Raw genomic sequence first — 15066 nt, forward strand, 5'->3', positions numbered from 1 at the left:
CTGGGCTTGGAGATTCCTTTATTAGGAGTTTTATAATTATATATTACATTTCCTTCATAGTTACGGGGTAGTCACACTGTCTGGTTCATGCTGGGTAGGTTGTGGTCTGCTGTGTTTTCTTAGGAATTGGTCTATTTCAACTGGGTTGTCAAATATTTCCTTATTCCTTTTTTTTTTTTTTTTTTAAATAGGGTCTCACTCTGTCACCCAGGCTAGAGTGCAGTGCTGCAATCATAGCTCACTGCAGCCTCAATCTCCTGGGCTTACGTGATCCTCCCACCTCAGCCTCCAAAGTAGCTGAGACTACAGGCAGGTACCACCTGGCTAATTTTAAAACTTTTTTTGGTACAAAAAGGGTGTCATTATGTTGCCCAGGCTGGTCTCAAACTCCTGGACTGAAGTGATCCTCCCAGAGTGTTGGGATCATAGGCGTGAGCCACTGTGCCCAGCTGCCCTTGTTCTTTTCACGTTTATATCAGAGTGCTGGGATCACAGGCGTGAGCCCCCGTGTCCAGCTGCCCTTGTTCTTTTCATGTTTATATCTATGGGGTTGGTGTGTGTCTCCTTCCTTCCTGATACTTGTGATTTGTGTCTTTTTTTGGTCATTTTTGCTAGAGGTTCACCCATTTACATATGTTTAAAGAAACCAGCTCTTTGACTTTCTGTATTGTTCCTCTGCTTTGCTTTCCATGATTTCTGTCATTTTTTCTTTCCTTCTGTCATTTTTTCTTTCCTTCTGTCTGCTTGCATTGGGTTGATTTTGCTCCTCTTTCATAGTTTCTTGAGGTGGGAGCTTTGATGATTGAATTGATTAGGCTAGTGCTGGAGCTTTTTAATTTTTATTTTTTGATCCTTGTTTCTGGATTACCAGCTTCTTCAAGTCCAAGCATGGGATCGATGAAGCAAGAAGAAAATCCAAGGCCTTCACCACCACATCATCCTTTGGGTCCTGAGGTCCCTAGCCAGCCTGCTTCTCTCCACCCTGCAGGGTCCTAAGTTTTCTCATATAGAGTTTTATGCCATGCTTAGTGAGATGAATAGAGAAAAATACCTCTGCTCTATCTTCCCAGGAGCAGAAGACCCATCCCACTGACTTTTTTTTTTTTTAAACAGAGTCTTGCTCTGTTGCCCAGGCTGGAGCGCAGTGGCGCGATCTCGGCTCACTGCAAGCTCCGCCTCCCGGGTTCACGCCATTCTCCTGCCTCAGCCTCCCGAGTAGCTGGGACTACAGGCATCGGCCACCATGCCCGGCTAATTTTTTGTATTTTTAGTAGAGACGGGGTTTCACCGTGTTAGCCAGGATGGTCTTGATCTCCCGACTTCGTGATCCACCTGCCTCAGCCTCCCAAAGTGCTGGGATTACAGGCTTGAGCCACCATACCTGGCACCCATTGACTTTTGACATCAAGCATTGGCGTGATGCCTGGGGCTGACTTCCCTCTTGTCAGGGTCTGGCTGTATTTATTCCACCTGGATCATGTGCCAATATAAAATTCTGTGTCATCTTTTCCTGAAACACAGTCTATTTCAATGTACGGATTAATCCTTCTTTCATGTCAGGTGAATTTTCTTGTGTGATAGCTTTAAGCAGCTCTCCCGTTTTACTTTTGAGGTTTTCCTTCTTAGAGGCACCTCTTCTCCCTGTGCGGACTTATCTTTGTGTGTATTCCAAATAATTCATTATCGTTTTTTCTGTTGCTTTACCCTATGTATTAAAACATTTTTGGCCGGGTGTTGTGGCTCATGCCTGTAATCCTAGCACTTTGGGAGGCTGAGGCAGGTGGATTGGTCAAGCCCAGGAGTTTGAGACCAGCCCAGGCAACACAGTGAGACCCAATCTCTCCAAAAAAACATGAGCCCAGCTTGGTGGCGTGCACCTGTGGTCCCAGCTACCTGGGAGGCTGAGGCGGGAGGATCACCTGAGCCCAGGAGGTCAAGGGTGCAGGGAGCTGAGAACGTGCCCTACATTCCAGCCTGGGTGACACAGCAAGACCTGGTGTCAAAAACTAAAAACCATCTCGAATCGGCGCCCCCGCCACAAGCATTTTTTCTCGTCGGCAGCTCAGTTTTCAGCTGTGCTTAGTCTGGTTTCCGCTCCTCTGGGTTTTCTCGTTTCATCTTGGTGTTTTTTGGGTGTTCTTTCGTTTATTCAACGCTGTGATCGGTTGTTTTCATCTCATTCTTCAGTTTTGTCACCTAAACCCCGTGGTCTTCTGTTACAAGTTTGCCAGCTTCGATCTTCTGAAGTGAGAGGTGCCTGCGCAGTGCTCTTCCATTCCTGGGGCTGTTTTCTTCCGGAATGGCTCTCTGTCTTGTGGCAACCTCTGCTTCCTCTCTTTTCTTTCCCTTTCTTTTCTCTCTCCCTCCGCCCCTCCCTTTCTTCCTTCCTTTTCTTTTTCTTTCTTCTTTCCTTCCTCCCTCCCTCCCTCCTTTTCTTACACATCTGAAGAGCTGCTGTGTTATTTTGTTTCATTTGAATATGTAGCAAGTCCCCATGTCTTCACTGGGTCAGAACCAGTAAAATTTCCCTGTTCCCTTCGCGGCTCCTGACCTCCCTCTGAGCCACGGTCGGAGTCGGTGGGAGGGAGGGAGGGAGGGCTGCGGTCAGCTGAGCCCTGGCGTCGACTTTGCTGCTGAGACAGGACCTCTTGCTTCCTGCAGCCCCCAAAGCCAGACAGAGAGAAGCGTGAGCACTGCCCAGGAGGCCGCTTTCATTTCTGTGGGGACATCGGGACCACCCACCGGACACCCCCAGGAAGGCCACGTTCTGAGGTTAGAAAGGGAAAAAATCAGATCTCACTGAACTATGCCCGTTAAGGGGGAAATGATCCCAGTTTTGAAATCCATCTTCAAAGCCCTGTAAGCGTGGCCCGGCGACGTTGTGCTCTGATGGGGAGCGTGTGCAGGGCACAGGCCGGGCAGCCAGCACTTCGCCGCCCAGGAAATACCAGCCGGTCAACTTGGGTTAGTGCAGATAAGCCATTTAATTTAATTTTAAAATGACTGTGGGGCACAGGAAAGAACAAGAAGAAACCACAAACAAGGCTCCCATCTTCTTTGTCCCCGAGCAGGTAACTGTGCAACTTATCAAGATTGTCAGTTTAATTAACTTTGGCCGCCAGAGGAGGCCATTCTTATCTACAGGACAAGCACCGCGGCTGTACCAGCCTCTGAGTTCCGACTCGGGTCCTGCAGGTGTGGCTTCCTGGCGCACGCGGGCTCTCTGAGCTCAGGGAGGCTCCGAGCCTGCCTCCAGGACGCAGCCTTTGTCACTCTGTCTTACTCCACCTCCATCTCAGACCCCCGAGCTACCGGGCCAGGCTGCCTTCTGCATCCGTGGAGCCCCAGTGCCCGTGAGGGTGTCCAGGCCTCACCCTGTGGGGCCGTGCATGAATCCAGGCATGGAGGAAGTGTAGCTGGGCTTCTCTAAGCTGAGACAAGTAAAGATGAAGAGGCCCCCAGGTACCCAATTCCTATAGGTGTGAGGCCAGGGCACCAGACAAAGGCGTGAGCTGCAAGTATGGGCGTCTCCTATGGAAAAAGTGGCTCACACCAGAGCCTGGGCCCCGGAGGGAGGAGCCACGCGCCTGGGAGACCACACAGCCGGGAGCAGGACCAGTGTGGCCCGGGGACACTCCCCAAGCCGGGACTCGGCGACAGGCCCGGGGGCCTCAGGATGTCGACGGGCCTCGTGTTGCCCTCGCTGCGGCCGTCCTGGCTGTCCTGGCCTATGTCGGGCTTGAGTGGGGTGGCAGGTTCCGAGATGAGGAGGAACCGCACTGAGAAGCCTCCTCTGCATCCGAACCCGCCACCGGTCACAGGAACACGGACTCTGATTGGTGGGTTTATTTTTTTGAGCTGCCCATCATGAGCCGCCCTCTGCTGAGCTTTGATCTCGATGCCTTAATCAGATGGGGCTCTGGTGGTCTAGGGAGGGGAGAATGCGGTTTTATGAGAGGGGAAGGGACTCGCTGGGGCAGAGGGCGGGCTGCCGGATTCACCAAACCCGGGGCCCGGGCAATTCTCCCTGTGTCCATGCACTGGTGGGACTGTGACTGGGCGGCACCTCCCCTCCCGGGATGGGTCTGTGTCCCTAGGCCCTGGGTCTCGGTGGCCTTTGATTTGCCGTGGTTGGTAGAACATGGTGGAAGGGGTGTGGGGCCTTGCAACGCCTCTCCACTGGGCTGTGGCTCTCCCACGCCCACCGCAGAAGGAACCGGCCTGACCTACAGGAAGGTGAGGGTGGTGTGCGGAATTTCTCCACAGGAGCCCTGGAACGTGAGGACGTGCGCCGTCCTCAGTTAAACTCAAAAGGGGGGTCATCGGGGTGGCCTCGCCTGCTCACTAGCCCCTCAGAGCCAGGAGAACTGGCCATGCTGTTTCCGGTTGGAAGATGGGAAGGGCCCTTGAGAGGAAGATGCCGGCAGCCTTCAGGAGCCGAGAGGGGACCCGGCTGACAACCTGCAAGGAGGCCGGGACCTCAGCCCTGCCGCTGCAGGCCCCCAGAGCTGCCAGGCCCCCCCGCGAGCCTGCAGGCGGGTTCTTCCCCAGAGCCTGCAGAACGGCACCTGCCCTGCTGGCACCTGGACTCCAGGCTGTGAGCCCTGAGTGGCAAATCCACCCACACCGTGGCTGAGTCCTGGCCATGGAAGCTGCCAGGGGATGAACTGGCGTTGCTCTGAACCGCTAGATACGGGGCTCATCAGAAACAGAAAACTGAGGCAGGAGGCCGTGCGGAGGACAGCCCAGGCCGCAGCGACGGCCAGCCCCACCCGCCAGCTGCCAGGAGCCGTCTGCTGCCCGGCCTGGCCAGCCCTGCTGGTGACCATGGCGGCCCATGAGCCAGCCCAGGGAGCCCCCATGGACCCAGAGAATTGTGAGGACCAGGAGCCCAGCGCTGCTTTAACCTGCTGCGTTTCGGGTGGTTTAGTTCCCGTGTTGTGCGTGGACGCATCGTGGCACGGGGGATTCTGCCCAGCAACTGCTCTGTGTTCTGAGACACTAAAGGCCAGTGCAGCGTTAGAGTCAGGCTGGAGGTGGGGGCAGGGGTGAGGAAGAGGGGACGAGAAGTTGGGGGAGGGAGAGGAGCAGGAGCAGGAGGGAGGGTGGGGCTGCTCTCTGGGCAGCCAGGCTCAATACACAGAGAAGCTTCCCTCAGTGGCTAAACCGGGCCAGGAGATGCTGGTTCCGGGGAATGAGCCCACTGCTCTGCCCTCTTCCCGTCCCGGCTCCGCCACCTCCCCAGCTCTGTCCTGATTTCACACAAACCCATCATTCCATTTCACTCCAGAGATGAAATCGGTTCTGCAGCTCACCCTATCCCCATCTTGAGCACCGCCTGAGGGCGCAGGTGGGGTCCCTCCCTGCCCAGCGGGGGATGGGGTGGGCGTGGGGGGGCGCGCACCTGGAGCTGCGCTTCCCTCTGGCGGCCTCCCTGCCCGGTGAGGGGCTGTGCCTCCGGGGTCTGTCTCCCGGCATTTTTCATATTCCACGGGGTTCTGTCATCCTGACTGTGAAGGGCACACGGAGCCGGGTCCTGGCCCATTTGACCGGCTCGGCTCACCCCTGCGCTGCCTGTTCGCCTGTGTCCGTCTGTCCGTCCATCTGTCTGCTGGCCACAGCTCTTCCACCCTCGGGGAGGTGTTCTTCCCCCTCTGCTGAGCCTGCATGAAGACGCGTGCGCTCAGGCCGGCGTCTGCAGTGTAGACACAGCTGCCTAGGCTCACTTGTGGTGTGGACGCTGTGCTGTGCCGGTGTTGCGCTGTGTCCGGTGCAGGCGCCGTCCTCTGGCTTCTCTGGGGTGTGTGCAGCGTCGACGCTGTCCCGGCGGGGCTCGGAGGGAACCGCCCGGCGTAGTGTGAGGGGCGGGGCCGCTCCTGCGGAGTCCACGGAGCTCGGCCGGCCGCGGGGGCCTCTTCGCCGAGGGAGTCGGGGCGGGGCCCGTCTTTCCGGGGACGGAGCACGGAGGAGACGCAGCGACGGAGGAGTCGAGGGCGGGGCCTGGGGCGGCCCTTCGCCCTTTTAAGTCACTGCGCGCGGGTCCCAGGCGGCGCCCGTCTCGGGGGCAGGTCCGCGGGGTGTGACGAATGTTCCCGCGGCGTCTCCCCGCCCTCCCCGGCGCCTCCCCCGGCCTCGGGCAGCCGCTTTCTGCACGGCACCTCCGAAGCCGCTGGGCGTCTGTAACCAACCTGCACGTTGTGCGCATGTGCCCCAGAAATTAAAGTAGAATAAACAACAACAAAACCAAAAGACCTTTTTACTTTGACGCAGTTTTAGATTCCCAGGACGTTGCACAGAAAATCCGGACGGATCCTGTGCCCTCCGCCCAGCTCCCGGGGTCACAGGCAGCCTCGGCTCCGACCCCGCCGGGCGCGCGGTGACCGGCTGTGCGGGTTCCAGGGGCGGATGTGCGCTTTGCCCGGCCCCTCTCCCGCCGCGCGGCCGCTCCTCCTCTCCGCCAAGGGCCGGTTCAGGCACAGGCCCCGCCGAGGCTGCCCCTGACTTGAGGGCTCACGCACCGGGCTGCTTGCGGCTCTGGACTATTGTGAATAAGGCCGGTGTGAGTATTTTACTGTAAGTCTTTGGGGACGTGTCTTCATGCCCCTTGGGTGAATCCAGGTGTGAGATTGCCGGGCCGGGGTGCTGTGAGTTACCTTTGGTTATAGGGAGGTGGTGACCCATGGTGGCTCCAAGTGCCCGTGGCCTTTCGTGACCCCGCCAGCAGCGGGTGGGCCTTTGGGGCGCTCCGAGGCTCGCCCGTGCTGCCCGTGGGTGCTTCAGCCAGTCCGGCCGCCGTGGCTTTCCTCTGCAGCCCCCGGTGCCTGCTGGCGTCGTGCCTTTCCGTGTGCTCGTTGGCCACGCACATGTCGAGGGGCCGTTCTGACGATGGACTGAGGGGCTCGGGGATAGCACGTGTCCAGCGGGGCAGGTCAGCCTTTCTCTTCTCCCCACAGACCTCAGCACAGCTCTGCACCTCGGAGGACTCGGGGAAGTTTCTGGGCCTATTTGGGCAATAGGAGAAGGTCATGGGCTGTCTTTCCAAAATTCACGTCCACCCAGAACCCCCGAATGAGACCTATTTAAAGAGAAGGCCTTAGCTGATGGAACATTAAGATGAGGCCACCCTGGAGCAGGGTGGGCCCTGAATCCGAGGCTGCTGTCCCTGCAAGGTGACGAGAGGGTGCAGGCGTGGAGGAGACACATGGGGGTGGGGTGAGGAACAGGCCACCGGCAGCAGAGACGGGTCAGGCCCAGCGAGGGAGGAGGTGGGAGGAGCCCCGGAGCCCTCGGAGGAAGCCGGGCTGGCACCTGGGCCTTGGACTCTGGGACTGTGAGGGAATCAATTCTGCCATCTGAAGCCACCTGCTGTGGTCCTGTGTTACAGCAGCGCTGGGCACAAACATGGGAGGGCCTCGTGATTGGGACTGGGGCATTCACAGGCCCGGCAGGCTGGTGAGCCGGTGCCTGGCAGGTGGGGAGGACATGGTGTGAGAGGCGGCCTGCGGGCCGGCCAGTGAGCTCCAGCACGGGGACTGGTCACCAGCCAGTGAGCTCCAGCACGGGGACTGGTCACCGGACAGCAGTGTCAGCGTGGACGGTGATCCCTCTAGAAGCCCTCCTTGTGTCTCGGGCCGGAAGCTAGGCACTGCACGCGCTCGGGAATGGGCCGCTGCTGTGAGGGAGAGCGCCCGCTGTGCAGTGGGTGTCAAATGAATATTAATAAACAAAAGAGCCAATTATCCTTCGTTGCAGACAAGTTTCTTTGCAGAAAATTTAGGAAATACAAGAAGCAAATAAAAAAATCAAAACCACCCAGGAATATAACAGTTATGATGTGCTTTTTTCCTAATCTTCAAAGCAAAGCTTTGGAGCCTGTATTATTTCTTGTTTGAATTAAATGCAGTTCAGAAGGAGAAAGTAATTTCCCCAAAGCTGCCCAGTGAGGAGAGGGCGCCCAGGTGTGTCTGCTGCTGCCCCTCTCTGCAGACCCCAGAGCTGTCCCTGCAGCCCTCTCAGAGGGGGCCCCCGCCCTGGAGTCTGCCCTTCACCTTCCCCTTGCTTCGACCAGAGCTAAACTTGCCTGTGATGACGAGGGAGTGTTTGGGAGACCCCCACGCTCTGTGTGGTTGGGCCCCTGGTCAACACCAGCCCGGCCTGCACCCCTGCTGGGGCCCTTCGAGGCTGCCCCGCTCCTGGGGACAGGCCCCCCCCGCATGCTGCTTCCTGTAGGACCCACTCTTGAAGTCGGTCTGAGCCATAAATGAGACTCATCAGGCAATGGGCATTTTTATTAGAGGCAAAATTAAATTCGGATGCCCAGGATCTCTATCAAGAGCAGAGAAAGGAGAAGAATGACGTGTGTATTTGTTCACTGCTTCCACCAGGAGCGCCTGCTCCCGCACCGGCCGCTCCGAGCCCCGGTCATCGGGCTGGGGGAGTGCCTGCACCCGTACTGGCTGCTCCGAGCCCCTGTCGTCGGGCTGGGGGAGTGCCTGCTCCTGTACCGGCCGCTCCGAGCCCCGGTCGTCAGGTGCCAATGAACCATGTCAAACAGATGACGTGGATTTTTCTGAATCTGCTGCAGAGCCAGATTTTAATTGAATCAATGGGAGAAGCAGGCCTGCTATTAAGTTTTATTAAATTCTATTTGCTTGTATCCTTGCCATTTAAAACATGACTGTTTAAAAAGAAAAAAATACTGGGCAGCCAGGCAGGGTTGAAGGTCGCAGGTTTGGGGTCACATGGATCTGGGTGGGACCCCCTGGGTCGGCCTCTGTGATGCGTGTGTCTTGTATGGAGTCATTTTACTCCTCCGAGCCTCTGTTTCTCCTTAAGTGGGCACAGGAGTGCTCAGTACTACTTAAGGTATTTGAAGAATTAAATGGGATTAAAATTTCAGCCGTATATAAACATCTTCCTCCCTCCCTCGTCCTCCTCCTGTGTCCTCCCTCGTCCTCCTCCTGTGTCCTCCCTCATCCTCCTCCTGTGTCCTCCCTCATCCTCCTCTGTCCTCCCTCCTCCTCCTCCTCTAAGGAGAAGAGAATGGTTGGCAGCAGTTTTCCCGAGTACCTGGGACAGGAGCTGGCGTTTCTGTAGACCTTTGCTCTGAAAGGAATCTCTTGTGCGTCCTGTCTTAGTCACATCTGTTGGACTGGGGGCGTGCTCTGCGTCTCGGTCGCGTCCGTCGGACTGGGGAGGTGCTCTGCGTGTCTCGGTCGCGTCCGTCGGACTGGGGAGGTGCTCTGCGTGTCTCGGTCGCGTCCGTCGGACTGGGGAGGTGCTCTGCGTGTCTCGGTCGCGTCCGTCGGACTGGGGAGGTTCTCTGCGTGTCTCGGTCGCGTCCGTCGGACTGGGGAGGTGCTCTGCGTCTGGGGGTTTTGGGAGAGCAAGTTGGGGGTGTGCTGGCCAGTGTCTGACAATAGGCTGTTGGAAGCGCAGCCGTGGCGTGTAGCATTGCCAATCATAGTGTCTGTATCTCTGTCTGTCTCTCCACCACGGACCGTTCCAGGCGACCAACACGCAGTCTCCAAGCTTGGAGTTGCCTGCTGTAGGCCCCCCACCGACTGCCGGAACCCCAGCTCCCAGCCCTTCCAGCCTGTGGGTGTTGGTAGGCGGTTTCGGCAGTTGTGAGCCTGGTCAAAGCCTCAGCTCTTCCCTCACTTGGGCAATCGGTCCTCCATATTAAATCCCTTTTGTTTGACTGGTTGGATCCCACCTGATACAATTGGGGTGGCCCCAACCAAGGACCTATGGTTACAAAACAGGACACAGAAGTCCATGAGGAGGAGTGATTGTGCCTTACAGGAAGGGACGTATCCACATGTGTCAAAGGGTTTAGGGGATCACGGTGGCTTCAGCACAGCCCACGGACGGCACAGCCTACAGATGGCACAGCCCACGGACTGCACTGCACGTTTTCCTGAGCCCAGGGACTGTGCTGGGGTCAGGGCAAATGCATGTCTCCATCCGTTTGGCATTTTGCTATTCATATAAAGGAACATCTGAGACAGGGTAATTCGTGAAGAAAAGGGGTGTAAGTGGCTCACGGGCCTGCAGGCTCTACAGGAAGCCTGGCACCAACATCTGCTTCCGGGAAGGCCTCAGGGAGCTTCTTCTCAGAGCAGAGGGGACGTGGTGAGGGAGGGAGCAGGGAGGGCAGTGCCAGGACCCTTCTAACAACCAGCTCCCTCAGGAACTACTAGAGTGGATGTTAGTTACCATGAGGACAGTGCTGGACTGTTCATGAGGGATCCACCCGTGACCCAAACACGTCCCAGCAGGCACCACCTCCATGTTGGTTAAATTTCTACCTGAAATTTGGAGGGGACAAACATCCAATCTACATCAGCATGTCACTGTGACTTAAACAGTATGGTTGGTTCCCATGTGGGGCACCCCTCTGAGGCAGGCGTGAGAGTCTAGGCCAGCAAGGACATCCTGGTGGCCACGGCCGAGTGTTGGCCATGCAGCCGTGCAGGGACCATCTTCAACAGCGACACCGTGTGGCAGCAGATGCAAAGGCAGCAGCGGACGTTGGGACATCTCCAGCTCTGCCCCACCCATGCAAGGGTGGGGAGCTCTTTGGATTACATGATCTCTAGGATTCGTGGGTACTTTCTCCAGAACAGGGGCAGTTCTCAAGAGGCGTGTGGCCACTTAGGCAGGTAAGGACAGAGGGGAATAGTCAGGGAAATAAGGACACTTGGAGGTGTATTTGGTGAAGCAGAGTGTTTGGCAAGTCAAAGTCATGCCTGTTGAAGAGTCTCCTGTCCGGACAGCGTGGACAGCACCTCACCTCCGCTGCCCTGCAGGGATCTGCCATCCCAGGTGCTCCCCTCGGGACTCCTCCTGGTGCCAGGGAGGAGGGGCTGGGCCAGGTGAGGCGGAGCAGCCATAGGCTTCCCTCAGTGGGAGGGAACACTCACCTCCCTGAAGGGTGGGAGTTCTACTGAGGATTCGAGAGTAATTTTCCAGGTGTCAGGTTTTCTGTGGGATCCTGTGTGGGCTATGAACCAGCCAGCTTTGACTTGCCTGTCAATTTGCCTAATGAATTGGTGTGTGAGCGAGCCGAGTTTGCACCTGCCATCCTCTTGGTCTAAACTACAGGCACTGCACGTTGCAAGATAAGGGACGTTGCACATCCTTCACCTGGGAAACTTCTGGACTCCTAACTTCACCTGGGAAACTTCTGGACTCCTGTGAGTCTGGCTGGGGGTGGGGGGGGTCCCTGGCAAGCCACTCACTTTTGGGGCCTCACTCACTGCCCGTGTTTTGCCTCCATGATCTTAGAATTTTGGCAAGATCTGGACTAGACAGAGGGCTGAGGCTTGGGCTGGGGTTGGGAGAATTCTCTGCTGAGAACAGAGAAACTGGGACCCCTCAGGGCTTCTTACAGGAACAGGAAGCAACGACTGGGGAGTCCCAGAGGAAGGCGTTGAGCAGAGGGGCCGTGTGGTGGGTGGGCACCCCAGCAGGCAGGGTGCTGGGGGAGGAACATGAGCCCCTGCGGGCTTTGGAAAGAGCAGTGAAGTACAGCCCCATTGCCTCTGCCCAGGGCTAGCGGAAAGTGAAGTGTTCCCAGCCCCATTGCCTCTGCCCAGGGCTAGCGGAAAGTGAAGTGTTCCCAGCCCCATTGCCTCTGCCCAGGGCTAGCGGACAGTGACGTGTCCCCGCAGGCTGAACTCCGACTGGTGACAACGGGTCAGCGTCCTCACTCCCTGGAGACTCGGAGCCTGGACTTGCCAAATTTGGCACCTGCCCATTTTTTTTTTTTTTCTTTGAGATGGAGTATCACTCTGTTGCCCAGGCTGGAGTGCTGTGGCTCGATCTCGGCTCACTGCAACCTCCACCTCCCAGGTTCAAGCTATATTCTGCCTCAGCCTGCTGAGTAGCTGGGATTACAGGTGCCTGCCACCATGCCCAGCTAATTTTTGTATTTTTAGTAGAGATGGGATTTCACCTTAGCCAGGATGGTCTCAATCTCCTGACCTCAGATGATCCACCCACCTCAGCCTCCCAAAGTGCTGGGATTATAGGCGTGAACCACCGTGCCTGGCCTTTTAAAAAAAAAATTTTAGATTCATGGGTACATGTGTGGGTTTGTTATGTGGGTATATAGCTTGATGCTGAGGTTTTGGCTTCTAACGATCCCATCACCCAGGGAGTGAACGCAGCTCCCAACAGGTGGTTTTCCAGCCCTCGTCCTCGTCCTCCTCCCCCTCCCACCTGCCCCTCTGGAGTCCCTGGCGTCTGCTATTCCCTCTCTGCGTCATGTGCATGCAGCATTCAGCTCCCATGGATAAGTGAGAACACGTGGTTTTGGTTTTCTGTTCGGGTTGAGTTCTCAGGCTGACGGCCTCCAGCTGCATGTGTGGCTGCAGGGGACGTGCTCTCCTCCATTTTCCCGGCTGCATCGAGTTCATGGTCTGTCTGCACACGTGAGGCCACCTGCCAGGCCACATCCCAGCACAGGCGTCATCCAGTGATTTCCTCATCGGCCAGAGTCTGCGTCTGCAGCTTTGTGAGCCACGCGGCCATGGCCTGACTCTGTGCCGAGAGCCCCGCAGCGGTGGCCACAGACAATAGTAAGCAACTGGGTGTGGCTGGGCGCCAATAAAACTGTATTTATTAAAACAGGCAAGGGGCTGGGCTGCGGCAGGGCCCAGGTGCCTGGGAAAGAGGTGGGACCGGGCCCCAACCCCCAGCTCGGCTCCCAGGAAGACACACACAGTGCTGCTGCCTAATCCTCTCTTTATTTGGTCTCTGCTGAAGCAGTCGTGCCAGCCTCCTAGACACGGCCTCAGGTTTGTCGCTGTCCATGTCCTCCAGCACCCCTCTTACCAGACCACAAGGAGCTGCATTATGATGTGTGACTTAGGTCTTGGTTGGAGGGCTGAGCGGCCGCAAGTGCTGGGGGAGGCTGCTTGGAGCATGGGAGGCCTGCGGGTGGAAGACACCAGGGTGCAGCCTGGTGCATGGTCCGGGGCTTGGCCTCCCTATGGGGCGTGGGGGGCTGTGGTACATGCAGAGGCGGCGGCTGTCCCAGCAGCCTGGCCAGGAGATACCGTGGAGAAGGCACGTGTTTGAGTTGGCATCACTGTCCCCAGACGCCCTCCCTCGGGTAGAGCCGCCTGTCCTAGGAGAAGCTGTACTCCAGATGCAGTGGGTGACACCCTGGTCACTCAGCCACACCCCGGCCCCTCAGCCTCTGCTGTCCTGGCCGCACATAGAGCCCTGTCCTGCTGTGTCTGCCGGGCACACCCCGGTCACTCAGCCACACTGGCTCGGCCCAGCGCCTTCCCGAGGTCTGTGGGGGTCCGGGCGGAGGTGGGGTCAGTGCCGTGCGTGTTTGATCCAGTTTCTGATCATCCACTTCTGCCCCGAGCACCTCTGTACCACCAGCCGGAGCCCAAAGTTGGCATCTTTGGACATCTCCACCTCCAGGCAGCGGCCCGTGGCCCGGCTCACAATGGGGCCACTCTGTGGGGACAGGCACATCAAGTCAGCCAGGTGCAGGCGTCCTTGTTCCCCCTCCCCCCACCTCAGGGAGGCTGCTTCGTGCTCTCAGCCCTCGTGCTCATTCTTGGGGCAGCTTGAATGGAAAGCCAGCATCACAGCAGCACCCAGGGGGGCCGGGAAGGGGCTGACTTCAGTGGAGCTTCGAGGATTTCCCATCTTTCCTGCAGGGCTAGCGGCCCAGGTTGGAATCATACCTCATCCCCTTCCTAAATCCTCCCTCTACCCTGGGCACCTGAGGCTGGAAGAGGCAGATGCAGGGCTATGATCAGACTGTCCAGCCCGACCCCTCTCTGGCTGTGTGACCCTGACCAGTCACCTGCCCTCTCTGTGAGCGTCGGGGCCCATAAGGGAACAGCTGATCCAAGGCCCGGTCCCCTGACCACCCCCTGCCGCACTCCAGCTCCCACCCAATGGGCTGGCTCTAGTGGCAGAGGCACCCAGGGGTCCCAGCAGCCCTGCCCCGCCCCAACCCCACGGCCCCCCTTCCCCAGAGGCTGACCTGGGTGAAGTCCCACAGCCGCTGTGTTGGCCGCGCCACATCCTCACACTTCTTCAGGGTGGGCATGCGGCCCGTGCCGTCATCCACCAGACACTTGGAGTCAGGCAAGAAGGCTGTGGAGCCCAGAGGCCCCAGCTGCAGCAGTCCATCAGCGCTGTACCGCACCAGCTGGGGACAGGACCACCGGGACTGTGTGTGAGCAGCGCCCAGGCTCTCCCCAGTGAGCACTGACAGGCCGTGCGAGCTGCCTTGAGCTGCAAACGGGGCCCTGCGCGGCTGCCTTGGAGCCTCCCACCCCGGGGACGCTGTTGCGGGCGGGAGAGGACCGCCGGGCAGGGCCCACGTGGGGATGCGGGCTGGACGGCGCCCAAATGCTCCGCAGGGCCAGGCTCCCGGCTTGCACAGCTGGCTGGTCTTCCGCCTGGACAGACGTCATGAATGTGGCTCAGACCCAGAGCGCGGCCCCACTCGTTTCGGGGAGGACAGGAGTTGGGTTTAATTTGGGCAACATGCAGTGCCGTGTGTGAGCGGAACACGCATTCCCGTGGGGTTAGAAACGTCCAGCTCCTTATGGGGGTCATGGTCAGAATGGCCTGGACCTTCACTACGGCCAGCCCCTGACCACTGTGATTCTGCGGGGCTGGGGCTGGGGCTGGGCCTGGGCCTGTGCTGCAGGTGAGTCCTGCCCAGGTGGGGAGTGCTCGGAGGTCAACAGCACTATTGCCGTGTTAATCCACCCCCCGAGCCAATGCTTCCCACACTTCGCTTCAATCACGCGACAGTCCTGAGCGGTAAGTGCTGTTGCCGTCTCTCTTGACTGAGGGGGGAGTGATGCACCCCCAGCCCATCTGACCCCAAAGGCCTGGTTCCTTTTTAATTTTTTGAGATACGGTCTCGCTCTGTTGCCCAGGATGGAGTGCACTGGTGTGATCTCAGCTCAACCTCCGCATCCCAGGCTCAGGTGATCCTCCTGCCTCAGCCTCCCGAGCAGCTGGGAATACGGGCATGCCCCACCATGCCCGGCTAATTTTTGTATTTTTTGTAGCGAC

At 58.0% G+C, this 15066-nt stretch overlaps 1 protein-coding gene and 1 long non-coding RNA gene across 3 annotated transcripts in view, besides 2 other annotated features; both read right to left on the minus strand.

Moving 5' to 3' along the window:
• Positions 1–2960: 2960 nt before the first annotated feature.
• Positions 2961–5921, minus strand: LINC02361 (long intergenic non-protein coding RNA 2361). Its single transcript, NR_146452.1, has 2 exons — positions 5405–5921; positions 2961–3927 (listed from the first exon to the last, which is right to left on the minus strand). It is a non-coding gene; the product is annotated as a long intergenic non-protein coding RNA 2361 (long non-coding RNA).
• Positions 5772–6251: a silencer, noted in NCBI's record as "silent region_5114". NCBI's record gives its function as "represses an Ori minimal core promoter by ATAC-STARR-seq in GM12878 lymphoblastoid cells {active_cell/tissue: GM12878}" and the evidence as "EXISTENCE:reporter gene assay evidence [ECO:0000049][PMID:35858748]".
• Positions 6382–6441: a silencer, noted in NCBI's record as "silent region_5115". NCBI's record gives its function as "represses an Ori minimal core promoter by ATAC-STARR-seq in GM12878 lymphoblastoid cells {active_cell/tissue: GM12878}" and the evidence as "EXISTENCE:reporter gene assay evidence [ECO:0000049][PMID:35858748]".
• GALNT9 (polypeptide N-acetylgalactosaminyltransferase 9) overlaps positions 12598–15066 on the minus strand; it is a 133218-nt gene continuing 130749 nt past the window's right edge. For both annotated transcript variants that reach the window (NM_001122636.2, NM_021808.3), the window contains 2 exons: positions 14018–14185; positions 12598–13479 (listed from right to left, as the gene is read on the minus strand). In NM_001122636.2, the coding sequence (NP_001116108.1) occupies positions 13333–13479; positions 14018–14185 (315 nt within the window). In that variant the 3' untranslated portion in view covers positions 12598–13332. The remainder of the gene's footprint in view (positions 13480–14017; positions 14186–15066) is intronic.

This window comes from Homo sapiens, chromosome 12 (genome assembly GCF_000001405.40).
Source record: "Homo sapiens chromosome 12, GRCh38.p14 Primary Assembly".
NCBI classification, from domain to species: domain Eukaryota; kingdom Metazoa; phylum Chordata; class Mammalia; order Primates; family Hominidae; genus Homo; species Homo sapiens.